At 58.4% G+C, this 27,964-nt stretch overlaps 3 protein-coding genes, 1 long non-coding RNA gene and 1 other non-coding gene across 14 annotated transcripts, besides 15 other annotated features; 2 read left to right on the top strand and 3 right to left on the bottom strand.

Moving 5' to 3' along the window:
* PNKP (polynucleotide kinase 3'-phosphatase) lies at positions 402 to 6,774 on the bottom strand. Its single transcript, NM_007254.4, has 17 exons — positions 6,667 to 6,774; positions 6,252 to 6,415; positions 5,597 to 5,643; positions 4,325 to 4,624; positions 3,522 to 3,601; positions 3,377 to 3,434; positions 3,162 to 3,269; positions 2,887 to 2,958; positions 1,888 to 1,936; positions 1,736 to 1,806; positions 1,569 to 1,661; positions 1,383 to 1,479; positions 1,242 to 1,303; positions 970 to 1,079; positions 806 to 893; positions 647 to 708; positions 402 to 563 (listed from the first exon to the last, which is right to left on the bottom strand). Exons 2-17 carry the CDS (start codon positions 6,400 to 6,402, stop codon positions 446 to 448), a joined length of 1,566 nt encoding a protein of 521 aa, NP_009185.2. The 5' UTR covers positions 6,403 to 6,415; positions 6,667 to 6,774; the 3' UTR covers positions 402 to 445.
* Positions 4,664 to 5,446: an enhancer, noted in NCBI's record as "H3K4me1 hESC enhancer chr19:50368723-50369505 (GRCh37/hg19 assembly coordinates)". NCBI's record gives its function as "activates a minimal SCP1, AML or CMV promoter by ChIP-STARR-seq in naive H9 embryonic stem cells {active_cell/tissue: H9 hESC(naive)}" and the evidence as "EXISTENCE:reporter gene assay evidence [ECO:0000049][PMID:30033119]".
* Positions 5,447 to 6,229: an enhancer, noted in NCBI's record as "NANOG-H3K27ac-H3K4me1 hESC enhancer chr19:50369506-50370288 (GRCh37/hg19 assembly coordinates)". NCBI's record gives its function as "activates a minimal SCP1, AML or CMV promoter by ChIP-STARR-seq in naive H9 embryonic stem cells {active_cell/tissue: H9 hESC(naive)}" and the evidence as "EXISTENCE:reporter gene assay evidence [ECO:0000049][PMID:30033119]".
* Positions 6,171 to 6,540: a silencer, noted in NCBI's record as "silent region_10940". NCBI's record gives its function as "represses an Ori minimal core promoter by ATAC-STARR-seq in GM12878 lymphoblastoid cells {active_cell/tissue: GM12878}" and the evidence as "EXISTENCE:reporter gene assay evidence [ECO:0000049][PMID:35858748]".
* Positions 6,171 to 7,011: a biological region, named in NCBI's record as "NANOG-H3K27ac-H3K4me1 hESC enhancer GRCh37_chr19:50370289-50371070".
* Positions 6,230 to 7,011: an enhancer, noted in NCBI's record as "NANOG-H3K27ac-H3K4me1 hESC enhancer chr19:50370289-50371070 (GRCh37/hg19 assembly coordinates)". NCBI's record gives its function as "activates a minimal SCP1, AML or CMV promoter by ChIP-STARR-seq in naive and primed H9 embryonic stem cells {active_cell/tissue: H9 hESC(naive and primed)}" and the evidence as "EXISTENCE:reporter gene assay evidence [ECO:0000049][PMID:30033119]".
* Positions 6,611 to 6,910: a silencer, noted in NCBI's record as "silent region_10941". NCBI's record gives its function as "represses an Ori minimal core promoter by ATAC-STARR-seq in GM12878 lymphoblastoid cells {active_cell/tissue: GM12878}" and the evidence as "EXISTENCE:reporter gene assay evidence [ECO:0000049][PMID:35858748]".
* On the bottom strand, positions 8,231 to 17,554 carry AKT1S1 (AKT1 substrate 1). Of its 5 annotated transcripts, none has more exons than NM_001098632.2 (5): positions 16,223 to 16,585; positions 12,115 to 12,500; positions 11,010 to 11,087; positions 10,745 to 10,914; positions 8,231 to 9,258 (listed from the first exon to the last, which is right to left on the bottom strand). In NM_001098632.2, exons 2-5 carry the CDS (start codon positions 12,491 to 12,493, stop codon positions 9,115 to 9,117), a joined length of 771 nt encoding a protein of 256 aa, NP_001092102.1. In that variant the 5' UTR covers positions 12,494 to 12,500; positions 16,223 to 16,585; the 3' UTR covers positions 8,231 to 9,114. The 5 variants fall into 5 exon arrangements, with proteins under 5 accessions (NP_001092102.1, NP_115751.3, NP_001265089.1 ...); NM_032375.5 differs by having other exon boundaries at positions 15,801 to 16,585; NM_001278160.2 differs by lacking the exon at positions 16,223 to 16,585 and adding an exon at positions 17,368 to 17,554 and having other exon boundaries at positions 8,237 to 9,258.
* Positions 8,985 to 9,294: a silencer, noted in NCBI's record as "silent region_10942". NCBI's record gives its function as "represses an Ori minimal core promoter by ATAC-STARR-seq in GM12878 lymphoblastoid cells {active_cell/tissue: GM12878}" and the evidence as "EXISTENCE:reporter gene assay evidence [ECO:0000049][PMID:35858748]".
* Positions 8,985 to 9,857: a biological region, named in NCBI's record as "NANOG-H3K27ac-H3K4me1 hESC enhancer GRCh37_chr19:50373269-50373916".
* Positions 9,210 to 9,857: an enhancer, noted in NCBI's record as "NANOG-H3K27ac-H3K4me1 hESC enhancer chr19:50373269-50373916 (GRCh37/hg19 assembly coordinates)". NCBI's record gives its function as "activates a minimal SCP1, AML or CMV promoter by ChIP-STARR-seq in primed H9 embryonic stem cells {active_cell/tissue: H9 hESC(primed)}" and the evidence as "EXISTENCE:reporter gene assay evidence [ECO:0000049][PMID:30033119]".
* Positions 15,174 to 16,133: an enhancer, noted in NCBI's record as "NANOG-H3K27ac-H3K4me1 hESC enhancer chr19:50379233-50380192 (GRCh37/hg19 assembly coordinates)". NCBI's record gives its function as "activates a minimal SCP1, AML or CMV promoter by ChIP-STARR-seq in naive and primed H9 embryonic stem cells {active_cell/tissue: H9 hESC(naive and primed)}" and the evidence as "EXISTENCE:reporter gene assay evidence [ECO:0000049][PMID:30033119]".
* Positions 15,174 to 16,356: a biological region, named in NCBI's record as "NANOG-H3K27ac-H3K4me1 hESC enhancer GRCh37_chr19:50379233-50380192".
* Positions 15,717 to 16,356: an enhancer, noted in NCBI's record as "active region_14964". NCBI's record gives its function as "activates an Ori minimal core promoter by ATAC-STARR-seq in GM12878 lymphoblastoid cells {active_cell/tissue: GM12878}" and the evidence as "EXISTENCE:reporter gene assay evidence [ECO:0000049][PMID:35858748]".
* Positions 16,537 to 16,876: an enhancer, noted in NCBI's record as "active region_14965". NCBI's record gives its function as "activates an Ori minimal core promoter by ATAC-STARR-seq in GM12878 lymphoblastoid cells {active_cell/tissue: GM12878}" and the evidence as "EXISTENCE:reporter gene assay evidence [ECO:0000049][PMID:35858748]".
* On the top strand, positions 16,900 to 27,948 carry TBC1D17 (TBC1 domain family member 17). Of its 4 annotated transcripts, NM_024682.3 has the most exons (17): positions 16,900 to 16,942; positions 17,341 to 17,439; positions 17,696 to 17,770; positions 19,477 to 19,600; positions 20,466 to 20,673; positions 21,239 to 21,350; positions 21,440 to 21,598; positions 21,962 to 22,090; positions 22,171 to 22,274; positions 22,849 to 22,943; positions 23,451 to 23,567; positions 23,657 to 23,757; positions 23,857 to 23,956; positions 26,674 to 26,771; positions 26,916 to 27,032; positions 27,429 to 27,515; positions 27,622 to 27,948. In NM_024682.3, exons 1-17 carry the CDS (start codon positions 16,922 to 16,924, stop codon positions 27,820 to 27,822), a joined length of 1,947 nt encoding a protein of 648 aa, NP_078958.2. In that variant the 5' UTR covers positions 16,900 to 16,921; the 3' UTR covers positions 27,823 to 27,948. The 4 variants fall into 4 exon arrangements, with proteins under 4 accessions (NP_078958.2, NP_001161694.1, XP_047295400.1 ...); NM_001168222.2 differs by lacking the exon at positions 17,341 to 17,439; XM_047439444.1 differs by lacking the exon at positions 27,622 to 27,948 and having other exon boundaries at positions 27,355 to 27,447.
* Positions 17,094 to 18,053: an enhancer, noted in NCBI's record as "H3K27ac hESC enhancer chr19:50381153-50382112 (GRCh37/hg19 assembly coordinates)". NCBI's record gives its function as "activates a minimal SCP1, AML or CMV promoter by ChIP-STARR-seq in primed H9 embryonic stem cells {active_cell/tissue: H9 hESC(primed)}" and the evidence as "EXISTENCE:reporter gene assay evidence [ECO:0000049][PMID:30033119]".
* Positions 17,097 to 17,386: a silencer, noted in NCBI's record as "silent region_10943". NCBI's record gives its function as "represses an Ori minimal core promoter by ATAC-STARR-seq in GM12878 lymphoblastoid cells {active_cell/tissue: GM12878}" and the evidence as "EXISTENCE:reporter gene assay evidence [ECO:0000049][PMID:35858748]".
* LOC124904743 (uncharacterized) lies at positions 21,288 to 27,641 on the bottom strand. 3 transcript variants are annotated; one of them, XR_007067293.1, is made up of 4 exons: positions 26,392 to 26,674; positions 25,644 to 25,961; positions 22,767 to 24,084; positions 21,288 to 21,372 (listed from the first exon to the last, which is right to left on the bottom strand). It is a non-coding gene; the product is annotated as an uncharacterized LOC124904743 (long non-coding RNA). The 3 variants fall into 3 exon arrangements; XR_007067291.1 differs by lacking the exon at positions 21,288 to 21,372 and having other exon boundaries at positions 22,460 to 24,084; XR_007067292.1 differs by lacking the exons at positions 21,288 to 21,372; positions 22,767 to 24,084 and adding an exon at positions 27,580 to 27,641 and having other exon boundaries at positions 25,404 to 25,961; positions 26,392 to 26,821.
* Positions 27,373 to 27,428, top strand: MIR4750 (microRNA 4750). The gene has a single exon (NR_039905.2). It is a non-coding gene; the product is annotated as a microRNA 4750 (primary transcript).

A 27,964-nucleotide genomic window follows, 5' to 3' on the forward strand; every position in this document is an offset into this window, starting at 1 on the left:
AGGCTGGACAGCCCGGGAACTCACTGGGTCTGGCTCTCGGCTGTCCACACCCTCTTCCCCCCCGAATCTCCAGACCCGCAGGCCTTGGGTTCAAGTTCAGTGTCACAGAACCTGAGCTGGATTTTGTCCTCAGGGGTCACACCTGGCCTTGAGCCAGCCCCTCGGTTGAGGCTCGTGGGCTCACCAGCTGGCTCTCGGGGGGCCACACAGCGCCCTCCCTGTGTGTTCCCCGGCTAATGTCTAAAGTGCTCATGCCAGGTCCCAGCTGGACTCCCCTCGGTAGGGCCCCACCTTTTGTTACCTGAAAATGTCCTTAAAGCCTCCTCCATGTAAGAAACTGGCAGGCCTGGAGCCCCTCCCCCGTGGGGACCACCCTCCTTCCAGCAAAATGCCGGCCAAGCTCAAGGAGAAACAGCGTTTATTGTGGAGGGGAGCTGGGCGGGGCTCAGCCCTCGGAGAACTGGCAGTACAGCCGCCCCAGCCTCGGCTCCACCCATAGCCGGAACGGGATCTCCAGGATGGCAGAGAAGCCTTCAGCCAGCGTTGGGGCCTCGAACTGCTTCCTGGCAGTGGTGGGAACAGTGAGGGACAGCCTGGATCATGTGGCCCAGCCAGTGCCCCTGCCCCCTGCTATCCCCAACAGTACCTGTAGCCATACATGACCATGTCTGACACGGGGATATGAGAGGAGTCCGTCATCTCTCGAAACTGTGGGGAACATCAGAGGGGCGGCAGGCCCAGGGGTCAGGGGAGGAGGGGGGTCAGGGGGTGCAGCCCGGGGGGTGTCCGGGCTGAGCGGGCTCACCCGGTTGTTGTGGCGCGCCTGCTCCAGAGTGGCGGTGAAGAGGAAGCAGCGGCAGGGGACGCCCGCGGCTCGGGCACACTGGACGTACCTGTGGGGGAAGGAGCTGGATGTGCAGGCCCCGCCCACCCCGCCGCAGGCCACCTACGGCCCCGCGGTCACGCTACCTGGCGCGGCTCGCGGCGTCTGGGTTTGTGTTGTCGATGGCGACCCGTTTCCCTTGCTTCAGGGCTGTCTCACACGTGGTCACACAGCGCTGCCAGGAGCCTAGCGTGTCCTGGGGACACGAGAGGTCACAAACAGATCGGCAGACCCAGGGGGAGAGAAGACCCCGAGCGGGGACGGGGAGGCAATGATGGAGGAAAGCCGCCCCAAACCAGTTGAGAGGTGGAGATGGGAACTTTATAATAGATTTGGGGCGGCAAAAGCCTGGTCATACCCTGTTCACGTGGACATATCCGGCCGACACGAGGTGCTTCTTGAGAAAGGTGGACTTCCCGGCTGTGTGGGGGGCAGTGTCGGTGGGTGGCCTAGGACCCAGGCGGGGCTCAGGGCACGCGCACAGGAACAGGACACTTACCCCCAGGGAATCCCACTGCGACAACCACCTCCGGGCTGGCGCTCAGGAGGGCCCTGGACTCGGGGAGGCAGAGAGGCCCTGAGCGGGAGACAGTCCTCTGCGAGGGGCGGGGGACACGCGTGAGATGCCGTCCCCATCCCCGGGAGCCCTCCCATCCCCACCCCCACCCCCGCCCCAGGGCCTCACCGGATCAAAGGCTGGGAGCTCGAAGCCGGCTGCTGGCCACTTGAGAAAGAACTCCTCAGGCGTGGCGAAGGGCAGGCCAAGGTTGAGGGCAAACTAGGGGTTGAGGACGAACATCAGACACAGGCCAGGGTCGGGCTCGGGCGCGGGGCAGGGGGCAGGGGCCTCACCAGGCGATCGGCGCAGGAGAAGTCTTTCTTCTTCCGCCCCGGGGCCCAGTTGGCCGGGCGTCCGGCTGCGTCTGGAACACACGGGACACCCCGTTCCCACCAGCTCGGAGGGAGGCGTCCCAGCCCACCCTCAGCAGCCTCCAGGCCCTTACCTCCCACAAAGATGCTGTCCCCGATGGATATGGGCGTGCCGTCGTTGGCCTACGGGAGACGGTAGTGAGGAGGCCCTTCCCACAAATGTCCCCCCGCAGCGGTAGCGGGTCCCTGGGGCTGCTTCGCCTGGTCTGTGCCCCACATCAGGAATCATCCCCCGACCTTTCATGTCCTCACTCTCCAGCCACTTTGCACCGTGCTCCTGGCCCCCTCCCCCCTCCGTGGTCTCTCCACACAGCCCCCTCCCTCCAGGTCTCCCGACTTCACCTCCTCCCGTTCCCCACGCGGCCACCGGAGGGCACCCACCCTGCTACAGCTCCAGCCTCCGGCGTGCCGGCGCCTCCCAGGTTCCCCCTCCCTCAGGGCAAAAGCGGGGCCCTCCCTGTGGCCCTGCCCTCTCCCCTCCCTCGCTTAGAGCCAGCCGCATGGGCCTCGCTGTCCCTAACTAGCCCAGGCTAGGGACTGCCTCAGGGCCTTTGCACTTGCTGTCACTCCCACAAGGGGGGGGACCGCTTTCCCCAGGTGTCCACCTGGCTCCCTCCTTTCCCTGCCTTAGGCCTTTTCCTCTGATGTCACCTCCTCAGAGGCCATCCCTGCCCACCACGGGTGATGCCTGCTTTCTCCAGCTCCCTCCCTCCTGCTGTTTTACACGCCAGTCTGCCCATCCGCCTAGAGTCACCGCCCTCGCCGTGAGGGCCCTGCTGGAGCAGGCCGTCCCGCTCACTGATACCTTCAGCTCAAGAATGCGCTAAACTTCAGAACAAATGCACACACAAACGAATGAACGAAGGAATGAACAGCTTCCCTACTACTCTGATGTAGAAAGTCTGAAAGCACTGGTCTCGTAAACCAACATCTAAGATGTCACAGCAAAAAACAGAAGGAGGGAGCGAGAGAGGACAGAGGAGTAAGGAGGCCCCAACCGGAGGCCGGGGAGCCCAGGAGTGAGGGGCTGGAGTGAGGAAAAGGAGGGGGGCCGGGCAGGCTGCAAGACTCACCTGCTCCTGCAGATGGTCCCACATGCCCGTCACCGGCTTCCGGTACAAGCCTGCGTGCGTGGCCACCAGCACCTGTGGATGGGAGGGGGCCACCAGCTTTAGCTCCCCCTCAAGCACCTACTGGATGCCACCCCAGCCCAGAATTTGTAGCTGATGATGGGTTCCTATCAGCATCACACTGCCTGAGGCCTCCGCCCCGCTTACCCTGGAGTCTAAAGCCCTCGCTCTGGATCTCTGTGCCCCCACATAGCTCCCAGCCTCCCTTCCAGCCATACCTGGAAGGGGACCCCCAGCTTCTCCACCACAGCCTCCACCTTGGCCTTGAACTCCTCGGCTGGCAGCTTCCCGCGCCCGATGCTCATCTGGTTGGTGAAGATCACCAGCTGGGGAGCAAAGGGTGTCACCAGACGCTCTGCTCACCAGGGCCTTGGTCTGACTGCGGTCGGACCGCCACGTGCACGTGCCCATGCAGACAGGCGGCTGCACATACCTTGTAGCCCTCGGCTTCCAGCTCTCGGAGCTTACGGGGAATCTCTGGGTACAAGATCCTACGGCAGGTATGAAGCGGCAGGGGTGACCCGGGGCCAGAGGTGGACTCCAGGCCTCACTCACTCCCTTGTTTTGCCTCTTATCACCTCCAGTCACTGGGGCCAGTGGGAAAGACCTTCCCAGAGCGTGTGGTGATGAGCGTCCCGTCCAGATCAAAGCCAGCCACCTGGTGTCACCAAGGAAAGACAAACAGCAGCACTGTGATACCTCTGACCCTCCTCACTCACAGGCTGACTCACACCAACCCTGCCAGGCAGGGTGTTATCACTGCCATCTCACAGATGGGGAAACCGAGTCACAGAGCACCTCCATCTCAAGCATCCGTGATGCCTCTGAGTGGGGCCCGACATCTTAACCTTACTGTCTCCTGTTACTCCTTATGACGCCAGCCCCAGGATTACAGTCTTTAAAATGGGGGTTAATGTCTTACCCAGCCTCCTTCTTCCCCTGGCCTTCACCACCTCGGTGGGCTAATAACCGTGAAAATAAAAGCAGGAGCAAAGCTTTGGGTGCTAACTGCATGTCAGGAACTATGCCACGTGCTTTTTTTATGGATTCAGCATCGTAGAGATGAGACACATGGGACTCAGAATGTGGTGGTAACAGCATTTGAACTCAAGTCTCTCTGGACATAAAAAATCCTCATCGTAATAGCTCCTACTGAGACAGTCATGGTCATTGCTGATTACTGGGTGGTCACTGTGGGTAACGCAGGAGCTGACATATATCATTCTCCCCACTGCTTAACTGCTTACAACGATCCCTGCATTTATCATTAGGCCCATTTCTCAGAAAAGTAAGTAGAGGCTAAAAAGTTGAGAGCACGCAACAAACGTGGGATTGGGTCCCAGTCTGTGGCGGCTCCCTCAGCCCTCGGCGTGGCCCTCACCTTGCCCTGGGGTTTCACCCCAGCTGCGGTGAACACTAGCAACTTCTCCAAGTTCTCCCAGCCGGGGTTTGACTTCCGCATACGCTTCTTCGGCAGCTCAGCATCTCTCTTCTCATCTTGGGACACCAGAGGGGTGCCAGGCGGAGTATCTGGCTGGGATTCTGGTGTGCGGGTCTCTTCCCAGCGCAGGGTCAGTGGGTGGAGGCCATTGACCAAATACAGTGTGTCCCCCACCCCCAGAGAGCCCTCCAACCCCGGCTTCAACTCCTGGGTCCCGGTAGTTGAGGGGTTAACTCCCAGCTGCAGAAAGAGAGGGAGGAGCTGGGACTGGCTCCGCCCCCACCGGGAGCTTCCTCCAATCAAATACCCAGCGGAAAAATCAGCCCTTCTCCACCACTATCAGACCCTTAGGCCCCACCTCTTCACTTTGGAACGGGCTTTGGAACGGTTACAGGTTTTCAGCCTTGTCCGAATCTTTTTTTTTTTTTTTTTTTTTTTTCCCCTGGAGATATAGGCTTGTTTTGTCGCCCAGGCTGGAGTGCAGTGGTGCAATCTTGGCTCATTGAAACCTGTGCCTCCTGGGTTCAAACGATTCTCCTGCCTCAGCTACCCGAGTAGCTGGGATTACAGGCACCCGCCACCATGCCCCGCTAATTTTTGTATTTTTAGTAGAGATGGGGTTTCGCCATGTTGGCCAGGCTGGTCACAAACTCCTGATCTCGGGTGATCCGCCCGCCTAGCCTCCCAAAGTGCTGGGATTACAGGCGTGAGCCACCGCGCCTGGCCGCCTTGTCCAATTTCTAAGGTCTTGGACAGGTACCCACCCCACTGAAACAGGCAACACTTCTTTCTTTACTGGACACATCCCCTTCTCTCCCAGCCATATTTTTTCTTTTCTTTTTTTGAGACAGGTTCTCGCTCTGTCACCCAGGCTGAAGTACAGTGTGGTGATCACTGCTCACTACACCCTTGACCTACTGGGCTCAAGGGATCCTCCCGCTTCAGCCTCCCGATTAGGAACTACAAGGACGCGCCACCATTCCCGCTAATTTTTTAGAGAGACAGGTTTCACCATGTCGCTCAGGCTGGTCTCGAACTCCTGGGTTCAAGCGATCCGCCCGCCTCGGCCTCCCAAAGTGCTGGGATTACAGGCTTGAGCCACCACGCCCGGCCCCAATCAGATTTTCCTAATGTACCCCTTCACTGACGGCTTGCAATTCCTCCCCAAATCCCATCCCCAGGCCTTGCTGGCCCTTGCAGAGGCACTGATACCTGTTTCACTGCCACTGTCCGGGTCTCAGGATCTGCGACCAGCTCCACTGAGGATTGGAGGGGTGGAGTCAGGATTTGCATCCTTGTGTGATTGGGTCCCTCATTTCTGGGGAGTGTGGCCTGCTTCAGGCTATAGCATCCAGGGAGTAAGAGGCAGTTTATTTCTACATGGGATTGGCTCCTTGACATGCAGTAGCCAGATAGTGGCACTAGGATTGCCTGACACTGGTCCTTGCAAGGGACAGGGAGGTACTTTTCTCTACAGAATTGGTTTCCTCCTTGACAAAAAATGTGGCTAGATATAGGTCCGGGGCTTGGCCTGTTACCATCCATCCCAACCTAGCGACATTTACTTTTCTCCACAGGATCATTTTTCTCTTGACGAAGGTCGTCGCCTGTTTCTGGATTTCCCGATGGCCTGAGCATCATCCGCGCAGTGAACATCCTCCCTAAATCGGCTCGATCCCCTCTCCCCCAAAGGATCTAGCTAATTCTAAATCAAGCACAAACTTTATCTTCCTGTACTCCCTAGAGAGCACCTTCCGACTTCGGGGCTGGCTGCACCACTGCAATCCCGCGTAGCAGCCAAGCGTCCCTCTGGATTGTTCCCGCTTTTGCAGCAGGCCACACCCCCTCCAGCTCAGGCCCCGCTCACCTTGAGTTCTGGAGCACTTCCGGTCCGTAACCTGGGTCAGGGGTCCCCTGCCCAGGACCAGGGCTTGCCCGTCCGAGGGCAGGAAGATGGGGGGCGCTCCCCCAGGGGGGCTCTCGAGCCACAAGCGGCCCGGGGCCTCCACCTCGCCCATCCTGGGTGCCGGCCTGGGGAGCAGGTAAACGGGCTTGAGCGGCGCACAGCCCCAATTTGCTGCAGGAAGTCCCGCCTCCTCCCACATCCACTAGAAAGTTTCCCCACCATTAACTGCTCCGGAAGTCCCACCCGCTCGCCTTCCGCGGGTCGACCCGTTTCCCAGGCGACGACGCGTGCTCCATCCCTCCCCGAGTTGCAATCCCCACTTTCCAGCGTACAGGCAGAGAGCCTCGCACATGCCTCCGCCCCGCCCCGTACTCACCCGGGACCGCGGCTTGGGCTCACGGCCACTTCCGACCAGGGAGGTCCTGCCCGAGGTGCCCCGCCTGCAACCCGGCCGGCGGCGGTCGGTTCCTCGGCGGACGGAAATGACTCGTCCCCTCGTGGGTGGGGGGCGGGGCCTGGCCTCCTCCCACAGCAGCCACGCCCCTTCCCCGACTCCCGGCCCCCAGGGTCTCTCGGCAGCCCTGACCTTCATCTCTCTTGCTGCAACGCGAGGCTCAGGCCGGTAGCGGGGACTGGATCCTCCGTTAGCAGATTTGCCTCTTTCCACCTTGACTTCTAATTTTCATCCCAGGGAGGAAGATTTTTTTCCCATCTGATGGTCATTGTCAGTCGAGGAAACCTCCGCCCCCGACAGCGCCCCTAAGTCCTTCTTTGGCTTCACCCTCGATGTTCTAGTTTCCTCATCTATAAAAAGGATAATCGTTTCCGCTTCGTGGGGTTACCATGACGATTAAAGGAGCTAACACGTGACAAAAGCTTTAAAAAATGGGTGGTAGTGAGCCCTGTTTAAGTCTTTTTTTTTTTTTTTTTTTGAGACGGAGTCTCACTCTGTCGCCCAGGCTGGAGTGCAGTGGCGCGATCTCGGCTCACCTGCAAGCTCCGCCTCCCGGGTTGACGCCATTCTCCTGTCTCAGCCTCCCGAGTAGCTGGGACTACAGGCGCCCGCCACCACGCCCAGCTAATTTTTTGTATTTTGAGTAGAGACGGGGTTTCACCGTGTTAGCCAGGACGGTCTCGATCTCCTGATCTCGTGATCCGCCCACCTCGGCCTCCCAAAGTGCTCAGATCCGTTTAAGTCTTATTTAGTGTTAGCATTCTTTCGGTAGTGGTCTGGTGGGACTACGTTTACCTAGTCCTAATTTCGGACGAGGTTCCACCTGCTTTCTAACCTCCAGCCATTTTTTTTTCCCTTTGGAGAAGGGGTCTCACTGTGCTGCCCAGGCTGATCTCGACCTCCTGGTGTCATGTGATCCTCCCGCCTTGGCCTCCCAGCGTGTTGGGCTTATAGGCGTGAGGCACCAAGCCCAGTTGCTCCAGTCCTTTTATAATAGAAGACTCCCGGCTGGAGTTCCTGGCTTTGCTGGTGAATATGTGGGCTCTGTCTCCAACACTCACCTCCTCAAGATTGGGTTCCATGGTCACATAAGACTGGGATGCTCTCCTCCACCCCATGAACCTGTGTCTTCATATCTATAAAATGGGCACAAAGCCAGGCGCCGTGGCTCACGCCTGTAATCCCAGCACTTTGGGAGGCCAAGGCGGGTGGATCATTTGAGGTCAGGAGTTCAAGACCATCCTGACCAACATGATGAAACCCTGTTTCTACTGAAAATACAAAAATTACCCGGGCGGCAGTGGCGCGTAATCCCAGCTACTCGGGAGGTTGAGGCAGGAGAATCGCTTGAACCTGGGCGAGAGTGGGACCCTGTCTCAAAAAAGTAAATAAAATGGGCACAGTAATTCCAACCCCCAGCTATTCACTGATAATCAGACGCTGCCATTCGGTTTCAGAAAATGTTGAATGAACACTCACAACACACTTCACATTTATCTCAGAGGTAAAACTCTTTAATCTCAGAGCGCCCCTCCCAACTGCCGATCCCCCAACCCCTCACTCTCTCCCCCACACCAGGGCCGGAGAGTGAGGGCCCCTGCCCCCCACCTTGGGTGGACGAGGGCCCTTTAAGGCACCTGTGGAGGTGGGGGGCGAGGGGCGGGAGCTGGTACCATCCTGGATGCAGGGACGGGCTTCGATTGGCAGGCTGTTGTGGGGATGGATGGAACCAATGAAAGGGGGTGCCAGAGGCAGGGACAGTTTGGGGCCATCCCTGAGGGGGTCAGGGAACAAGTTGTCGGGACGTGGGCAAAGACGACCCCAGTCCCCGTAGTGTAAAGAACGTAAATTGAAGGCCCCGGGCCAATTCTGGGAAGAGGAGGGCTTGGCCACGCCCCCAGGAAGCTGGAGCCAATTGGGAGGGAGAACTCAGGAAAAGCGGACGGTGACTATGTAGAGACTGGTCAAGCCCTTTACAGGATTTGAGCCAATCAAAAAAAGAGCTGTCCAGCGACTAGGGGATGGAGCCAATGCCGTGCGAGCAAATCCCTTGTCGCTAGGCGGAAAACAAAGGAGTTGACCCATTTAGAGCTTAGAACTCAGCGAGCCAATCCCTTAATAGAAGGAATCTGTCGCTAGGCGGAGAGAGACGACAGACCCAATCGGGAAACGGGACAGATGCCGCTCCTCGGCGCGGCAGGTCGTGGGCTGGAAGGACGGCGGGGATTGGCAGAGGCGGGACAATCTTGGGAATGGGAGACGCAAGGAGGCCGGTCCCGGATCGGCCTCAGATTAGCAGGCCCCGGGAGTGGGGCGGGGGCGTAGTGTGGGACGGGGCGGACGCGGCCCGGGGCGCTCCCTCCCTGGACTTCAATATTTCCGCTTCAGCTTCTGGAAGTCGCTGGTGTTAAGCCGCGGCCGTGGCAGGTCCCCGAAGACCTGGGTGTCCTCGGCCTCTCGCAGCACCAGCGCGCGCATGCTCGCCGCGATGCGGTCCAGGTCGGGCGAAGAGGGCTGCGGGGACGGCGACGGGGCGAGGTCAGCGCCGGCAGGGCAATCCCCCTGCACCCACACGCGGTCCAGGGGTGCACCCGGGCTCCAAGCCCACTTCTAGCACGTCCCTGCCCTGCCACCTGTGCCCTGCGATGCCCACTGCCAGCAGTGCCCCTCCCCGTCTTGCTCCACGTAGGAACCCTTCTACCCGGTTCAGACACCTCCTCCACGAAGCCTACCTGCCCCTCTCCCTCTCCCCTTCTTGGCCTAGGACATTGCTTCCTACACAGTGGAAGTGCTGTTGCCTGCTAGCCATTAAGGCTGAGTGCACCGTCTCATGTCTGAGGATCTGGGCTGGGGTTTCAGTCATGTTCCAATCAGACCTCTGCCGCTGACAAACTATGAGCAAGAGGTTTTGCTTCCCTAGGCCTCAGTCTCCCCTTCTGAAAAATGGGGCGGATAACAGGGTCTCTGTGAGGGCTGAGATAATCAGCTGTTACTGCCTTATCATGTGGCCACTGCGCTACAGAAAAGATCCCTCGCTGTGTCAGCCCCCGCCAAGGAGCCTGCAGTTCTGGCACCTAGTACTGCCTCCACTACAGCCCCCGTCACCCGGAGCTGGGCCTGTCCCCTCGCAGGATGGGACCCGGAGACCCAGATCAGGAACTGGACCTGAGCCCAGTGGGAGACCAGCCCCCGGGCACAGCACGCAAGAGGCCAGAGCATTCAATTAACTGTGTTGCCATGAGTCGCAAGCACAGAGAGCAGCAGCAGGTGGACCCCGCCCGCACCAGGCCCTGTTCCTGGTCTTCAGTGCTCACTGCTTCATTGAGGGAGGATGCACAGAAAAGGTCACCACTGTGACTGCTGGTTTGCATATAAGGACACTGAGGCTTGAGGGGGGGACTGTGGGGACCCAGGCCTCCTCCCTCAAAGCCCACAGCTCCTTCCTGAAACACACCTGGGTTCCAGTCCCAGCTCTGCCTCTCAGGGAAGTCACATGTCCCCTCAGTGCCTCAGTTTCCCCTCTGCTTCAGGGAGGCTCAGTGAAGGGTGAGGAGGACCCACCTAGGCCAGCAGAGCCCAGCCCAGGAGCTTCAAACAGGGGTTGCTACAAGGGGTGAACAGGGGACCAGGGGGTGGGACAAATTCTGCAAAGGGCTAGGAATGTGCAGGGTGGGGATGGGAGGTGATCTGAACCCTCCAAGCCTCAGTTTCTCCACTGGAGGGCATGCCAAAACACCTGTGCCTTGCCCAGAGCAGGTGTTCTATAAATAGAGACGCTCCTGGAAAGGAGAGGCCTTCTCTATAAGGCACTAGGACACATGGTAAGGCTGCAATTGTTAAAACTGCAAGGCTCGTGTCCAAGAACTCGCCTCTTGAGGTTGAGGGGAGGATTCAGTTAGCTTATGGGTGGAAAGCAGCATCCATGCTGGAGGGCTTCCTGGAGGAGGCGGCTCAGAGCCCTTCCAGCTGCCCTCCCTACCTCCCCACATTTGCCCCTCACCGGCCCATTCTCCTCATCTGATGACCGCGCCTCTGTCCTCTTCTCCTTGAAGCCCCAGACGGGCACAGACACAGGCAGGGACTTGGCGTACTGCTGTGTGGGTAGGGCTGAGGCTGGGGGCACTGAGCAGGTGGGGGGGCCGGCGGGGGTCTCCTCGCTCAGGCTGCCATCTGAAAGAGAGGGTGGACTTCAGCTTCTGTCCCTGCCTTTGTGTCGGCCGTGTGCCTGCCCTCAGGTCGGGAGGGGAACAGCCTGGGACACTCACCATCTGTACTCTCGGGGTCTGACTCACAGAAGGGGGGAAGGTCCTGGAGGGTGGCGTCCTCATCCATCACAAAGAGCCCTGTGGATGACCTGAGTTAGAGGCCCAGGCCAGGCAGCACCTAGCCATGCTCCATGTGTCCTCCTCCTCAGCCACGGCCACTGCCACAGCCACCACCTCCACCTCCCTGAAGCTTCTGAGACCCATTTCCTTCACCTCAAAAACAACTTCCTCTAGCAGCCTGCCTGGTCATCGGCAAAAACCAACCCAGTTTCTATGGATCTGCCACCCTCTCAGCTGCACACAACGGGCTGCTAACATGAAACCTCTACGATCTGTTCGGGACAATGTGACTCAAAACACAGCCTTAGAGAAACATGCAATGACTATGACCTCTGTTTCACAAATGGAGACCTGGAGGCCCAGAGAAGTTAAGTCACTTGCCCGAGGTCCCATGGCTACTAAGGGACACCACCAGGATTTGAACTCAGGATGCCTGCCCTTCACCCTACACGGGTTTTCTCCAGCAATGGTGAGGAGGCCTGCCATTGGTAATAACAACAAACAAGGACCTCCTAGTGACTGATCAAACTCCTACTAACTCCGCAAAGCCCTAGCGTTACAGTCCAGCCTCCGGGAAGTGCCCGACCCCCAAATTCCCCCCAAAACAGCTGGCTGCTCCCTCCCTGGCTTCCTCAGATGTTGGCTGCATCCCAGACAACTCTTTAACTCCTGCTTGGCCTCCCAGGCGTTGTGGAAACGACTCTGGTTCTACCCATGACCTGCCCCAGAGCCTCCCAACCCCCACCGGGACTCCAGTTCCTTGGCTAGACCGGGAGCCCCTTGAGAAAAAAGCCCGAGCCTGCTCTGTGTCCTTGTGCCCACCACTCCCAGCACAGAGCTGGCCCCAGGACCAGTAAGGCTCAGAGCAGGGAAGGGACTGGCTTTAGATCACACAGCAAGCCCCAGGCAAGCCTGTCTGGCTCTGGGGTCCTGAGACTGCACTTCTGTAGAAGTACTCTGGGCTAAGCAGGCCCCCACCCCGACAAAGCCTCCTGCGGGCACCTCAAGCGCTGGGCCGCACCCGCCCCTGCCCCCACCCTCTCACCTCCATTATCACTAATGCCCAGCTGCTCCCCGGAGGTCTCTGTCTCTGTGGGCTCATCCTCGTCCTCCTCGTTGTCCTCTCTGGCCAGGGTAGGCCGGGGTGGGCTGGGTGTGGGACTGGGTGGCTGTGGTGCTGGTGGGGGCGCAGGAGGCCGAGCAGCAGTGGCAGCCCTGTGGGCCAGTGCGATGTCGTGGAGGCAACGGCGCGCTGCCTCCGCCAGGGCTCCTCGACCATGGGCAGCATAGGCACAGGGGCCCGGGCGGGGTGGTGGCGGCGGGGCCGCGGTCAGCAGCACCAGCTCCGTGCCAGTCCGGGCCCGGAAGCGCTCAGCGGCCCCCACCACGGCCTCCCACAGCTCCTCGGGGCGCCCCGACGCCATCCGCGCCCTGCGGGCCAGAGCAGGACAGAGGGGGCTGAGGCTTGGCGGCCTACATCATCGCCACCCACTCAGAGTGCCCGCCCGTCCCCTGGATGGCACTCACCACCCTCCACCCACCTTGTCCCAGCGGTGCTGTGTGTCCTCCCCAAACCTGCTACTCCCCAGGATTCTCACCATCCAGTCCTCGCAGGCCCAGACCCTGGCGACGTCCTCTGCCCCAACCCATTCCTCCTGCCCCAAGTCACTGTACTCCTTCCCCTTTGGCCCTGCCCTGGCCTCTGTGGGAGCCGCCAGCCACATGTGAACAGGGAGTACTGGAAAGGCAGGGAGTCCTAGCAGAGAGTCCTAGCAGAGAGGCCTCTAACAATAAAACCTGCACTGGGTTCTGAAGACTGAGTACAATAAAGCCGAACGAGCCGGGCGTGGTGGCTCAGGCCTGCAACCCCAGCACTTTGGGAGGCCGAGGCAGGCGGATCACCGAGCCCAAGAGTTCGAAGCCAGCCTGGGCAAAAAAAAAAAAAAAAAGGAATTTCATCTGCTTTTTTTACTCTTTTAACATGGTGTCTAGAAAATTTAGAATTCCACGTGGGGCTTGTGTTGAATTTGATGGATGATGCCACCCTGCTCCGTCGCCCAGCCATCCCGTCAAGAGTGTCCTGCACAAGGCCCAGGGGGTTCCTTCAGCACCCGGAGCTGATGCTACTCCTCGCCATAGTCCTCAGGGCAGGCCCTGGAGGCTCTAGGTGTTCTGGCCATCCCCAGCTCCTGGGCCATCCTGCCTCCACGGCCTTCCAGAGCCTCTGAGGCCCGAGGCCTTCAGAAAACGTGGTCCCTGACCTTGATGACTTGTGCTCCATTCCCCACCAACCTTTCACTCATCCTAGGGTGGAAGAAACTTTCCCTCGCCCATAGATCCAGCCAGTCTGCTCCATAGGGGGTCCCACACTGTCTGAGTGGCCACCTTCCCAGCACACTTCCTTCCAGAGGGAACTGGCTGGTTCTATGACTGAGGCCTCAGAGAGTCGGGGCTGAAATGGTGCTGGCGCTGCTCTCTGTGCTGGGAAATCCACACGGCTTTTCCTACAAGACTGTTCTGGCAGGTCCTCTGTTGTCCCTGATCCCCCAGGGTGCATCAGATGACTTCAGGAGCCCATCCGATGCCCTGGGCTTCCTCCATGAGCATTCATGTCACCTGAGCTTGTGACAGCTGTAACCTGGCTGCCTCCTGCATCAGACTGTGAATTCCCCCAAGGTCAGGGATTTGTGTTTGCAGGACAGGTCGGCCCTAAGCAGACAATGCAGGGTGCGTCTCCTTACTGGGTGAGAAGAGCGAGGGCAGGGGGGCTGGGTCCTTGCCCTGACTCTGTCTCAAACCTGCTGTGTGACCTTAGATGGCTCACTGGCCCTCTCTGTGCCTCATTTTCTTCCCCATTAACCAGCGTGGTTGAGCCAGAGCTGCTGGGCTGCGGAAGACGCTCTTCCGGGAGGCAGTAAGCACACCGCCACTGCACGGATTCAGGCACAGCTGTGGTCCAGCCCACCAGGGTGAAGGGAGCAGGGAGTCTGGAGTCTGAATGAAATTTGCAGGCCTTTTATGACTCACGATCATTGATGTTGGTGTTTGCTGAGCACCTATTCAGTGCTGGGATTCCACACCTGGCATCTCACCTATCTGACTCACTCAGGGAGTTCAAAGCCCCAAGGGAAGGAAGAGGTTTATCCACCACCTCCCAGAAGCCACGCAAGGACCCAAGATGGGATCAACCTTCTCATCCCACCCTTTCACCTACACTATGAGACAGGAGCTTTAGTTACAGTTCACCCCATTTTACAGTTGCAAACTCAGGCCCAGGGGCAGTCAGCATCTTGAAGGGCCACAACTGGAAGAGGCAGGGCTGGGACCTGGACTCAGAAAGTCTAGATCCGGGGCCTGTTCTAAATCCTGACCGCCATCCTGCCTGCCTTTAGGAGGGCAGATATTCTAATCCAGATGGAAAAGTGAGGCTCAGAGAGCTTAGGACACTGGCAAAAAAGCACACAGCTACACAGGGCACAAGTGGGGCTGAAACTGTGAGGCTCAGAGAGCTTAGGACACTGGCAAAAAAGCACACAGCTACACAGGGCACAAGTGGGGCTGAAACTGCTGACTGCCCAGCCCCAAAACCCCACTGAACTGGGGGGTACCCGGTGTCTCAAACACACCCATGTCCTTCCCAGCTGATGAGGGAGGAAACTGAGGCTCTAAGCAAGAAATGGCTGGTCCAAAGTCAACTGCCTCGCCGTGCTAGGCCTGGGGCTCTCACTTCCACGGGCCTCCAGCCCCTAATGACATGCGGAGAAGAGGGGGAGAGGAGGTCCCGGAAGAGAACGTCAGGATGAACTCTCCGTGTACTCAATCTTGGAGTAGCCACGGGATTAAAGAGTGAAATAGGGTGAGTGAGTTGTGAGGGCTCCCCCAACTCAGGAGACATGAGCAAAAAGGACAGGGCGACTTCCACAGACCTCTTTGCCAAGGTCCAGGGGCACCCTGTAATGCTACCCAACAGGAGAGTAGCCAAGACCTGGGGGTCCTCCTTACCCTTCAGCTTCTAGAGGAGGTCCTGTTTCCTCCAAGGAGCTGAGAGATGGAGGAAGAACCCGCCCCGATAGACGAGTTTCGTGTAAGATCAGGGAGAGATTAGAGGAAAGTGAGACGTGTTCCCCACAGGAGGGGGAGCACGATGTGGCTGTCCTCTTTGGATGCAGGGAGGAGGGAAAAGAGCTAAGGAGGAGAGGGGTGGAACCACCCCTCCTGTCGAAATTTTAGTACCCCACACCCCAAGATGTGAGGAACCTGAGCATGAACGCGGTAGCCATGGGGTGAGCGCCTGGGGCCACGCTCAGCTGCCCCGAGACCTCCCAACCTCGCCCGGGGTCCAGGGAGGACCCACTGGTCTAGGAAGAAAACAGGAAATCCCGCCCAGACGGAGGCCAGGACCGGAAGTCCCGCCTTTGGACGGGTGAGGGGCGCCCCGAGGCCCCCCAAACCATCCCCCGACCCCGTGGACGTGGTCCACGGCCCAGGTAGAGATCCCAGGCGCTCTGGAACCGCAAGGTGAGACTGTCTACGATTTGCCTCAGGTCTGACAGGACGATTCCCACGGGCGACCCCCTTCCAGCGCTCAGCAAAGGATCGCTGGCAGACCTCTGCCCTCTGATCTGTGCAGGCCATACCCCTCCCGTGAGCCGCTCGCCCTCCCAGCGCCCCGCTGCCTCAGGACGGCCAAATCCTCCCCACACCGCGGTTAACAACGCCGCCTCCACTCACGTGCCCGTAGCCAGCATGGCCGGCCCGGCGCCGTCACCGCCCTCAAAAGACATGGCGGCGCCTTGCGTCACGTCCGCGCAGTTGCCCCGCCTCCTCTCCGCACACTCCGCCTCCCTTATCGGGGCCGCCCGAGATCAAGATGGCGGCCACAGGGGCTTCATCCGAACCAGTTGACAAGGGTGACGACAGCTTGCCCCTAAGAAAAATGGCCCCGCCTAGAGCATTTCCATTTGCCCCCAACAATAATGGCCGTCCTCATATGCTCAATCATGACCACAGTAAACGAAGGCAAGCGACCTGACGTCCCTGACCCACAATAAACTTCTTCGACAAAAGTAGAGGAAATCGGTGCTCGTTAACAACATGGCAGCCAACCGGGCTTAATCAGCCCATAGTGTATATTGGCTCTCCCTCCCTCCAACCTGCTCCCATTCGGCACGAAGGCTGGCAAAGATCCAACACGGCAGCATTTCTTGCTTCGGTTTGCCAGGCTTCAAAATGGCGGCTCAGCCCGCTTTCTCGCGACGGTGACTCAGAAATTCGTCCGGGGCCGCTTCGTTTCTGGGGGCACTGACGGCTTCATCCCGTTATCCTGAGTCCCTCAGTGCCTCTTGTGGTGTACAGCTCCTCTCACCTCCTCTTCTCTTATCCGTTCGGCTCTTCCAGCTGTCGCGCCCCGCAGAGAGATGGGACAGCCCCGTATTAACATGGCCTTAGCTGACCGGCTTAGGCCATGCCCTCGAGCAAAATGGTACCTCCTTGGCTTCAATTCCAGTATACAATATGGAGAAGGAAGTGGGCGTTTCAAGGCGTGCTTGCCCCAGGTGGTGCAGCTCTCAGACCCTCCCACTTGTTTACTTCGTGGCGAGAGGGCGAACACTGCGCCTGCGCACTCTCCGTAGCCGGATCCACCTTCAGCGTCTGCGCCACGTGACTCCGATCCACCCTCGAGGTTCCAGTGGAATAACCCCCTTCTGAAAAATGGTTTCACCCGCTCCTTCTCTAGAACGGGTCGGGCCGCTACCACTGTCCGGCCCGGAGGGGAACTGTTTTCTCCGGAAGTGACAACACGCTGACTAGGAAAAGGAGGAGGCGGGGCAGTGGGGCCTTCGGCGGCGACTATGGAAGGAGCCGGCTACAGGGTAAGCACTGAGGACGCATTCCCTCGCTTCAGTGTATGCGAAACGCCCCGTCTAGTGATCAGCTCTTCTCTCAGGCCTTGGCTCTCGAGAATCCGGCACGGCCTTGGCAAACACCGATCTCTTATAAACGCGCCGTCACCCTCCCGTCCACCGCCCCAGGGAAGAACCTCCCATGGCCCCGCCCCCCCGGCTCAGGCGACTCCTTGAGCCCTGCCCCCTGTGGAACGCACGTCAGCATCCGAACGCGGGCTGGACCATTCTCCCCGCCTTGGTCCCGGGGCAATGGCCCTCCCGGCCCCGCCCCCTGAGGGTGGCTCCTCCCTGGGCCCGTCCCTATTGGCTCCCCAGGCTGGTCCCCTCGCTTGGGCCCCAGCCCTCGCTGGTTCCCCCCAACTCAGGTGGTGTTTGAGAAGGGCGGAGTGTACCTGCACACCAGCGCTAAGAAGTATCAGGACCGAGACTCTCTCATCGCTGGTGTCATCCGTGTCGTGGAAAAGGTGCGCTGGGAGGGAGCAGGGCTCGGACCCGCTCCGAGCGGGATGCAGGCGGTCTGGGATGCAGGCGGCAGCTGTAGGAGTTTGGTCTGGCGGTCAGCAGTGGGACCTGAAGAAGGCTGGGTGTGGGAACTGGAATGAGGGGCGGGACTTTGAAAGGCTGAGGGTAGAAACTGGGAAAGTTTGGAAATTTGCAACGGAAAGTTTTGGGAATGTGGTTTGGGGAGCGCCTCTAACCCCGCCTCCCTCCTTACCCTAGGACAATGACGTCCTCCTGCACTGGGCTCCTGTAGAGGAGGCTGGAGATTCCACCCAAATCCTCTTCTCCAAGAAGGTAGGCTCCACCCGCTTTGCCCTTCTCCACTCGCTTTTTTTCTAGGTCCGTGCTGTTGTAAGTCATTTGAGGGACCTGCGTACAATCCCAGACCTACTCGTGGGGCATGTGTGACCCTGTTTAGGCTTGGGTACTCTGCCTCTCCTTTTGCTCCTCTCTGTGAAATGGGCAGAGGATGCCCATTCAAGGAAAAAGAGCAGGGAGCATAAGACGCACGGTCGTGGGGACGGCTGACCCCTCTCTCCCTTTGCTTCTTGGGAGATCCCTGCCAGGGTGCAAGATGTGGATTCGAGTTGCTTGAAGGGAAATGGCATTTCCTCTGGTGCCAGAGGACAGGGCCTGACAGCCTACTCACCCACTTCGTCACTGCTCCCGGCTTTCCCTTCGTTATGTCTCCTGGGACTTCCCATGGCTGGACCCCGTCCTGGGCAATTCTGAGACCCAGAGATAAGTCAGATCCAGACCCACCTAAGCCCTGACCCTTACTCACTTTTTGAGAAACTGATAGATGAGGTCGAAAACGCTAGGAAGTGTTGGAACTTTTTGCACCCAGACAGTCTGATTCCAGATCCCCAACGCTTCCTGGGAGAGCAGACATTTGAGCTGGGACTCCCAGGATATGAAAGGACAAGAAGGTATTTCAGGGACAGCAGAACAACCTTCAAGGCACACGGAGAAGTTGGATGCCTCTGTAGGGGGGTTCTTTAGTGGGGAATGAGACCTCCATTGGAGCTGATGAGTTCCACCCAGGGGCCGGAAGTCAGTCGGCACCCACAGAGCTAGTGACGAGACACTGGAAGGCTGAGCTGACCACCTGCGCTGCCCCAGGGCAGGAGGATGAAGATGAAGATGAAGATGACTCTCCACCTTGCTCCACAGCCAAACACAGCCAAGGCACCAGGAAGTTGCGTTACATCACTTCCGCTTTCCAGGTTGGCCTGCATCTGGTTGGTAGAATTTGTCCTGTGTCCTGGATTCCAGCTGCAAAGAAACCTGGGAAATGTAGTGTGTTTTTTTTGTTGTTGTTATTGTTTTTTTTTTTTTTTTTTGACAGTCTCACTGTCTCAAAAGAGTGCAAAGTGGTATCTTATTGTGGTTTTGGTTTGTATTTACCTGGTGAGTACAACAGTGTCCATTGAGCACTCCGCAGCCTGACTGCAGAGCCACCTGCTGTGTAGCATGGACCTCCCCATGCAGTGGGAGACATGGGGTCAAGTCCTGGCTCGCTCTCTGGCTGCATTGGGTGACCCTGAGCAAGTGCTGTACTTTCTTTTTTCTTTTTTTTTTTTTTTTTTTAATGAGACAGAATTTGCTCTTGTTGCCCAGGCTGGAGTGCAATGGCGCCATCTCAGCTCACTGCAACCTCCGCCTCCCAGGTTCAAGCGATTTTCCTTTCTCACCCTCCCGAGTAGCTGGGATTACAGGCATGCGCCACCATGCCTGGCTAATTTTTTTGTATTTTTTTAGTAGAAACGAGGTTTCTCCATATTGGTCAGGCTGGTCTCGAACTCCCGACCTCAGGTGATCCGCCCGCCTCAGCCTCCCAAAGTGCTGGGATTACAGGCGTGAGCCACCGCACCCGGCCTGCTGTACCTTCTTTGTGCCTCAGTTTCCCTCTTTATTCAATGGGGCTATCTTCCAGGGTAGCCTCGAGGCTAAGATCTGAATCCATGGCCCCTTACTGTCTGCTCCTTTCCTCTCCTAAGGACTCCAGTGGGGGTGACTCATGTGCTTCTGAGGAGGAACCAACCTTTGACCCCGGCTATGAACCTGACTGGGCTGTCATCAGCACTGTGCGGCCACAGCTCTGCCACTCAGAGCCCACGAGAGGTAGGCTGAGGTGGCGGCCCTTGAGAAGCACGTGTGGGCCAGGTAGGACACATCTTGCCCTCAGTGGTCACGGTCCCAAGGGCTTTGCTGCCCACAATCAAGAAGGCCACCAGTCACCACCTTCCAGTCCCAGGAGCATGGAAGTGAATGGGAAGACAGGACTGTCCCAGCCCAGGTCAACATGGCCAGTGTCTCTGAGACTGCAGCCTTGCTCATCCTACTGGGCTCCCGGATTGGCTGTGGGTGCTCCCACACCAGGCCTGCCCCTGAGGTTCGAGGCTGGTGGGGTGACAGATGCAGCCAGTTAGGGTGATTTGCACCATCCTGGGGTCACACAGGGTGCAGGGGACATCCAGAGAAGGCACGTGACCCCTCTGGGGAATGGAGATTCCTTCCAGGAAGAGGTGATGCTGGAGCTTGGCACTGAGGGACTCTTGGGAGTTTTCTCTTCTGGCAGAGAGAGCAGCCCGTGCAAGCCAGAGGCAGGCGGCCCCCGTGTGTTTAGGGAGCCGCTGGCCTTTCATTGTAGCTCAAGTGTGGGATTTTGAGTGAAGAAAGGTTGGAGGTAAGATAGGCAGGGGCGAAGGACAGACCCGAGGGGCCTCGAGTGCCAGGTTGAGGAATAGGGCCCTTACCCTGCAGGTCGAGGGGTGCCTAGGAAGGTTCTGGAAAGGTACATGTCCACTGGGCCCCCTTCCCATCTTACTCATTTGTGCTTCCAAGGAATGTGAGGCCAGGGGCAGAGGGGTGGCTTGTGGCGGGGCCCTCAGGAGATGCCTGTGCCGAAGGAACATCCTGGGTTGTGGTTGATAAGGCTGACTCTGGCTTCCCACGCGCTTCCCCCAACACAGTGCCGTCTCCCTAGGTGCAGAGCCCAGCTGCCCCCAGGGCTCCTGGGCCTTCTCAGTGAGTCTGGGGGAGCTAAAGTCCATCCGCCGCTCCAAGCCAGGCCTCAGCTGGGCCTACCTGGTTCTGGTGACCCAGGCTGGAGGTTCCCTGCCCGCACTGCACTTCCACCGCGGGGGCACCCGCGCCCTGCTCCGCGTCCTCAGCCGCTACCTGCTGTTGGCCAGGTGAGCTCTCTCCCAGTGCTGGGCCTTAAACCGGGCCCAGTCCCACCATGGCTGCAGCGTGACCCCTCGGGGCTGTGAAAGAAACACAACTCACACTGATTTAAAGGCAGGCAAAGAGTTGACCAGCACATATAACTAAAAAGTCAAAAAGGAGTATTGATTTCAGGCAGGACCCAGGTCCCAAAATGTTAGAAACAGTTATCCTTTTTCCCTCTGAGTTCGTTATTCTCTGGGGCCCCAGTATCCGTGGCTTAACAACCCGGCTGGATAGAAGGCACCTCTTTCCCCACGTTCCAACAAGATCCCAGAGCTGCTTCTCATTGGCTCGTCCCTGAGTCAGTCACACTGGACCGGAAGGTGAAAGGCCCTCATTGGCCAGCCCCGAGTCATGTGCCCACCCCTGGGATCCAGCTGTGGGCCTCCTTTAACAGCATTCCCTGAAATGAGGGGTTGCCCAGGGGTGGTTGGGACGCTGCAGCTGGAACCGATGTCGGCCGAGCACAGACAGCCTGGGACACTGGGCCCCTACCTGTGCATCACCTGTGCGTCACCTCCCGCCTCCCAGCTCCCCGCAGGACTCCCGCCTCTACCTTGTCTTCCCCCACGACTCCTCTGCTCTCTCCAACTCCTTCCACCACCTGCAGCTCTTTGACCAGGACAGCTCCAATGTGGTGTCAGTGAGTGTCCCCAGCAGGAGGCCTGGCGGGTGTGGGCAGGGAGGGACGAGAAGGGGCGGGCCGTGACCTCCCTTTGGCCTCGTCCCCAGCGCTTCCTCCAGGATCCCTACTCCACCACCTTCAGCAGCTTCTCCCGAGTGACCAACTTCTTCCGGGGTGCCCTGCAGCCACAGCCTGAGGGAGCCGCCTCCGACCTTCCCCCGCCACCCGACGATGAGCCCGAGCCTGGATTCGAGGTCATTTCCTGTGTGAGTAGTGAGTGGACCCTCCCTGTTATTTCTGGCCGTGTCTCCCTGGGCGCATGATTTCATTTCCCTGGGCCTCAGTTTCCTCTTTGGTAAAACGGGGATGGTAATGGGACACCCTCAGGGGGTGCATGAGGAAAGCGCTCATGGCTCTGCCAGACACTGTGAGCACCTGCTCACCCTTATTGGGGGACCCCTCCTAACTGGGGGATGACTTGGCTGCTGAGCCCCGGAAGAGGCTGCTGCCTGCCCCTGAATGTTAGTCATCCGTCAAGCTAATAAGCTCTCTGAGCTTGTGGACTGAGGCTGGGTTGGGTCCCCCCACCACCCCGCCGAGCCCCAGGCTCATTTGCTCTTTGCCTGCAGGTGGAGCTGGGGCCTCGGCCAACCGTGGAGCGGGGCCCTCCAGTTACAGAGGAGGAGTGGGCACGCCACGTGGGCCCTGAAGGTCGCCTGCAGCAGGTCCCTGAGCTGAAGAACCGGATCTTCTCGGGGGTGAGTGCCAGGACAGGTGGAAGAATGGGGCAGGGCCAGAACAAGGCCCCACTGAGCTGCCTGCCCTCCTGCACCCCCAGGGTCTGAGCCCCAGCCTGCGGCGCGAGGCCTGGAAGTTCCTCCTAGGGTACCTCAGCTGGGAAGGCACAGCTGAGGAGCACAAGGCCCACATACGCAAGAAAACGTGAGTTCTCAGGAGGCCCTGCCCTGCCAGGCATGACACCTGGTACCTCCTAGGGCACCAATGGGCAAGTTCTGTGGACGCTGGTTGTGAACCTGCTGTATCTGGGCACCATCCTGCGCCTGTGGAATACGGCAATGATCAAGCCAGACCCATCCTCACCCCTGTATGGTCTGTCTCCATTGCAGTTTTCATTCCTGTGCCATACTGTTTTAATGATCACAGTTTTGCAGCATGTTTTATAACCTAGGAGGGCCCGTCTCTCCTCATTCCTGGTGTAGGTTATATACCTGCCAGGCACTGAGGATGCAGCAGTGCTGGACGATTCCCTGTCCCTGGTGCCCTGTCCAGTGGGGGGTGACAAATTTTCATCAAAAGGCCACAAGGCTATGTAGTGAGAGATGCCAGGAAGGTGAAGTGTAAGGGATAGTGGCAAGAATGACGAGGTGACCTGCTTGGGTCTGTGTGGTCAGGGAGGGGCTCTGCAGGGCTGACCTGGGAGGTGGCGCCAGGCTTGGAGGTCTCTGGGTGTTGCAGACAGTGGCGGCCTCACATCTTGTTTCCCTCTGTCACTCAGGGATGAGTATTTCCGCATGAAGCTGCAGTGGAAATCTGTGAGCCCTGAGCAGGAGCGGAGAAACTCACTTCTGCATGGATACCGCAGCCTCATCGGTCAGTGTCAGGGGTGGCACTTAGGGTGGATGGGAGCAGGGAACCACAGGAGGGCCTCAGGCATAAGTGCGAGTGGGAGATAGAGGGAGCCCCCTGCCTCCCCAAGACCAGTGAGAGGGCATCTTGGGGGAAAGCTGCATGGGCTGTTGGGGAATGGCCCTGGGGGAGCAAGGCCAGGGACAGGATGGGAAAGAAGGGGAGCCCAGCTCCCTTCAGGCCCAGTCTCAGTTCTGTCAATGCCTGGTGATCTTGGCAAGTGATTTTGCCTCCCTGGGCCTCAGTTTCCCCTACTGTGGGAGGATATAGCCAGCTGGTGAGTGGGAGGCCTGGCGCCTCACAGCAGGAGCATCAGTGATAGTTTCTAGAACCAGCTCTGCTTCTCCCCCAGAGCAAACCCCGAGGCTGGGGGCTGCCAGCAGGAGGAGCAGTGGGGGCTGGCACTGGTGGCCAGCAGGGATGGGCCCCCCTACCTTTCTCACCTTTGCACCCTGTGCCCGGTCCCCGCAGAAAGGGATGTGAGCCGCACTGACAGGACCAACAAGTTCTACGAGGGTCCCGAGAACCCGGGGCTGGGCCTGCTGAACGATATCCTCCTCACCTACTGCATGTATCACTTCGACCTCGGTGGGTGCCAGGCCTGGGGACGGGCGTGGCCGGGGCTGTCCAGGGGAGCGCTGCGGGCTTGGCTGCAGCCTGACCCCATGTCCCCCCAGGCTACGTCCAGGGCATGAGTGATCTTCTCTCCCCGATCCTCTACGTCATTCAGAACGAGGTGGATGCTTTCTGGTGTTTCTGTGGCTTCATGGAGCTCGTGGTGAGGCTTGGGTCAGGGGTGGGACACAGGCCTATCGAGCGATCAGGTGTCCTGGTACCTCACGGGGTCTGCTCTTTCCCCCCTCCTTCCGTCCCACAGCAAGGGAACTTTGAAGAGAGCCAGGAGACCATGAAGCGGCAACTCGGGCGACTGCTGCTGCTCCTGAGGGTGCTGGACCCCCTGCTCTGCGACTTCCTGGGTATGTCTCTCGGGAGGGTGGGCAGGAGACAATGGGGCCATAGACCTTGCCAGATTCTCTGGTAGCAGCCACAGTGGCATCCTGGACATTGGGTCCTGATCCAAACAAGAGAAACATCCCCACACAACCTAGAATGTAGAGGCAGAATTGCTGTTTGAAGCAAAACTTCACCAAATGCAGACACGCAGGAATGCTGACTCACCCCGTCCTCATGCTCACCTAGATCCTGTTTGGGCTTTGCCTTTGGCTTAACCTGCAGGGTATTTTTCAGAAATAAGGACCTAGGCATTCCTGCCACTTCTTATCCCCACCTGGCTGTGGCTCACCTTGAACCAGGAATCAGAGACTGGTTCTCTGGGCCCTGGGGCTGGGGGTGCTGCATCCCAGCTTTAACATTTTTATTCTTCGACCAGGCACAGTGGCTCACACCTGTAATCCCAGCACTTTGGGAGGCCAAGGCGGGCGGATCACTTGAGGTCAGGAGTTCAAGACCAGCCTGACCAACATGGAGAAACTGTCTCTACTAAAAATACAAAATTAGCTGGGCCTGGTGGCACACGCCTGTGATCCCAGCTACTCAGGAGGCTGAGGCAGGAGAATCGCTTGAACCTGGGAGGTGGAGGCTGCAGTGAGCCAAGATCACACCATGGCACTTCAGCCTGGGCAACAAGAGCGAAAGAAACTCCATCTCAAAAAAAAAAAAAAAAAAAAATATATTCTTTATTACTTGGTCAATGTAAAAACTGCAGGAAATTAAGATGAAGAAGAAAAAGTAAGGCTGGGTGTGGTGGTTCATGGTTGTAATCCCAGTGCTTTGGGAGGCCAAGGTGGGAGGATCACGTGAGCCAAGGAGTTTGAGACCAGCCTGGGCAACACTGGGAGACCAAAAAAAATTGGGAGACTACAAAAAGATTTAAAAATTAGCCTGGGCGCAATGTCATCCTGGGATCACGCCTGTAATCCCAGCACTTTGGGAGGCCAGGCAGGTGGATCACTTGAGGCCAGGAGTTCCAGACCAGGCTGGGCAACATAGCAAAACTCTGTTTCTACTAAAAATACAAAAAAATTAGCCAGCCGTGGTGGCGCCCACCTGTAATCCCAGCTGTTGGGATCGGCTGAGGCACAAGAATCACTCGAACTGGAGTGGGGGAGGTAGCAGTGAGCAGAGATTGTGCCATTGCACTCCAGCCTGGGCAACAGAGTGAGACCTTGCCTCAAAAAAAAAAAAAAAAAAAAAAAAGGTCGGGTGTGGTGGCTCACGCCTGTAATCCAGCACTTTGGGAGGCCAAGATAGGCAGATCACCTGAGGTCAGGAGTTCGAGACCAGCCTGGCCAACATGGTGAAACCCCGTCTCTACTAAAAATACAAAAATTAGCCGGGGGTGGTGGCGAGCACCTGTAATCCCAGCTACTCAGGAGGCTGAGACAGGAGAATCACTTGAGCCAAGGTTGCACCACTGCATTCCAGCCTGGGCGACAGAGCGAGACTTTGTCTCAAAAAAAAAGAAAAAAGAAAGTTAAAGTTGCTGTTTGATATCATTGTTTTTCTTGAGTGCAGATGGTGATGATAATAAGTTAAACTTATTCATGAACATTTCCTCGATGCTTTAGGACCCCCGGGGGAGGGAGCTGAGATACTCTGTCCTCACCTTACTGATGAGGAAACTAAGCCATAGAAAAGCATCACCTCCTAGGGCACAAGGACAGAGGCTGCCTCTGGGTCATTCAAAGTCTTCTGAAACATCACTTTTCTTGACTGCGCGGCATTGTGTCCACCTGCAAGATGTGGTAGATTTGATGTAACTTGACCTGCTGGAGATTCGGGTCCTTTGCAGTTTTTCATCACGGTGCATAGTCTGGGTAATTTCTTCTTTAGGTTCACTTCCAAGAAGTGGAATTTTGTTCAGGACAGTGCTTGTTTTCACACAGCTTTGGAGAGTTTGTCCTCCGTTGTTACTTTCCTCAAAGGTTAGAATGCTCAGACTCTCACTTTCATTTGAGTTAACTTGGGGGGAAAAAAAGGTTCAACACCAGCTTAATTTTTTTTTTCTTTTTGAGATGGAGTCTCGCTCTGTTACCCAGGCTGGAGTGCAGTGGTGTGATCTCGGCTCACTACAACCTCCACCTCCCGGGTTCAAGCGATTCTCCTGCCTCAGCCTCCCAAGGAGCTGGAATTACAGGGGTGTGGCACCATCCCAGCTAATTTTTGTATTTTTAGTAGAGATGGGGTTTCACCACGTTGGCCAGGCTGTATTTTTAGTAGAGATGGGGTTTTACCATGTTGGCCTGGCTGGTCTCGAACTCCTGACCTCAGGTGATCCACCCGCCTCACCCTCCCAAAGTGCTGGGGTTACAGGCGTGCGCCATCGCACCCGGCCTTCAGCTTAAATTTTTGCTACAGCGTATCTAGGAGTGTCAGTTCCCTTAGCGCTCACCAGCAGCGGGCAGAGGTCTGTTTCGTCGGGCGTGCTGGGCGTCCTGCCTCCCTTCCATGTCCATGGCAGATGTGGAAGTATAATAGCACACTTCCTCTGGAGAGTGGGAGGAAGGAGGGGCAGGGCCCGCGTTCAGGGCTGCTCCTGCCTCACCTCCGAGGTTCCCCAGCCAGGCATAAGTCACTTGCCTAGACTTGGGGAAGGTCTTCCAGTCAGGATGACTTCTCAAACTCTCAGTCCCAGCGCTGGGCAAGGCTGAGTGGGCTCCATGTCATCCCCCAGATTCCCAGGACTCCGGCTCTCTCTGCTTCTGTTTCCGGTGGCTGCTCATCTGGTTCAAGAGGGAATTCCCCTTCCCGGATGTCCTTCGGCTGTGGGAGGTGGGCCAGCCAGTTTGGGCGAGAGGCCTGAAGGGGTGGGCTCACCTGCCCTGGGAGGTTGGGCGGAGAGGGACAGACCCTGGTGGGACCTCAGGCCCAGGCTGGGCTATGACCTCCCTCCCTCCCTCTGTCCCGCACCCTCAGGTGCTGTGGACAGGGCTCCCTGGCCCCAATCTGCACCTGCTGGTGGCCTGCGCCATCCTGGACATGGAGAGGGACACCCTCATGCTGTCCGGCTTCGGCTCCAATGAGATCCTCAAGGTGAGGCTCCGGCCCCGCCCCCGCCCTGTCCCCCCTGAGCTGGGCGCTGCCCAGGGCCGCAGTACCTCCGGGGAGCAGGTGTTTAGTGTGGGATTATTGAAAGCCTGGTTAGTTGGGAGCGCAGTGGGGGTGGGGCCGCGTAGGTTTCCCTTCTGCCCCATGCCATGCCTGCTCCCAGCAAGGTCCTCCGGGCAGGTGGGTGGGGACCTTCCCTCCCCGAGTACGTGCTCAGAATGCTCCCGGAGGCCTGAGAAGCATGTCTCGCCCAGCGCACTTCTGAGCCCCCAGAGGGCCAGCCCGGTGTGTCTTCATTGTTTCCCAGCACGAAGCACAGAGTGGGCGCTCGGGCGGAGGTGGTTGAGTGCCGACTGGCGCCTGACCCACCCCCTCCCGCAGCACATCAACGAGCTGACTATGAAGCTGAGCGTGGAGGACGTGCTGACCCGCGCCGAGGCCCTGCACCGCCAGCTAACCGCCTGCCCCGTGAGTCCCCGTCCGCCCCGCAGCGCCCCGCCCGAACCCCGACCGACCCCCGCCCCCTTCTCACCTTCACCTTCCGCTTTTCGCTTCTCTCATCCCGTGCCTCCAGGAGCTGCCCCACAACGTGCAGGAGATCCTGGGGCTGGCCCCGCCCGCAGAGCCCCACAGCCCCTCGCCCACCGCCTCCCCGCTGCCTCTGTCGCCCACCCGGGCCCCGCCCACCCCGCCGCCCTCCACGGACACAGCCCCGCAGCCCGACAGCAGCCTGGAGATCCTGCCCGAGGAGGAGGACGAGGGCGCCGACTCCTAACCCCGCCAGGCAGCCTCGTTCTGCACAGGCACTTTAGCCCGAGCCAGGCACACCTGCGAGGGGGCAGGTGTGCTCCGCCGCCCTGCTGATAAGCTGGCTTCATTAAACTGACACTTCTCATGTGCAGTTGGCTTCTTGTTGG

Source organism: Homo sapiens, chromosome 19, assembly GCF_000001405.40.
Source record: "Homo sapiens chromosome 19, GRCh38.p14 Primary Assembly".
Classification (NCBI taxonomy): Eukaryota; Metazoa; Chordata; class Mammalia; order Primates; family Hominidae; genus Homo; species Homo sapiens.

What these genes read in the sequence shown, in the direction of transcription:
- PNKP (NM_007254.4), bottom strand. Translation starts at nt 6,402, where the DNA reads ATGGGCGAGGTGGAGGCCCCGGGCCGCTTGTGGCTCGAGAGCCCCCCT. An exon ending in TGGAAGCCGAGGGCTACAAG is followed by an intron (nt 3,270 to 3,376) that starts GTATGTGCAGCC and finishes TTTGCTCCCCAG; the next exon opens with CTGGTGATCTTCACCAACCA. An exon ending in GACGCCGCGAGCCGCGCCAG is followed by an intron (nt 894 to 969) that starts GTAGCGTGACCG and finishes CTTCCCCCACAG; the next exon opens with GTACGTCCAGTGTGCCCGAG.
- AKT1S1 (NM_032375.5), bottom strand. Translation starts at nt 15,853, where the DNA reads ATGTCTTTTGAGGGCGGTGACGGCGCCGGGCCGGCCATGCTGGCTACG. An exon ending in GCCATGCTGGCTACGGGCAC is followed by an intron (nt 12,501 to 15,800) that starts GTGAGTGGAGGC and finishes TCTGGCCCGCAG; the next exon opens with GGCGCGGATGGCGTCGGGGC. An exon ending in CAGATGAGGAGAATGGGCCG is followed by an intron (nt 9,259 to 10,744) that starts GTGAGGGGCAAA and finishes CCGTCCCCGCAG; the next exon opens with CCCTCTTCGCCCGACCTGGA.
- TBC1D17 (NM_024682.3), top strand. Translation starts at nt 16,922, where the DNA reads ATGGAAGGAGCCGGCTACAGG. An exon ending in GATTCGAGGTCATTTCCTGT is followed by an intron (nt 21,599 to 21,961) that starts GTGAGTAGTGAG and finishes CTTTGCCTGCAG; the next exon opens with GTGGAGCTGGGGCCTCGGCC. An exon ending in ATGTCCTTCGGCTGTGGGAG is followed by an intron (nt 26,772 to 26,915) that starts GTGGGCCAGCCA and finishes CCGCACCCTCAG; the next exon opens with GTGCTGTGGACAGGGCTCCC.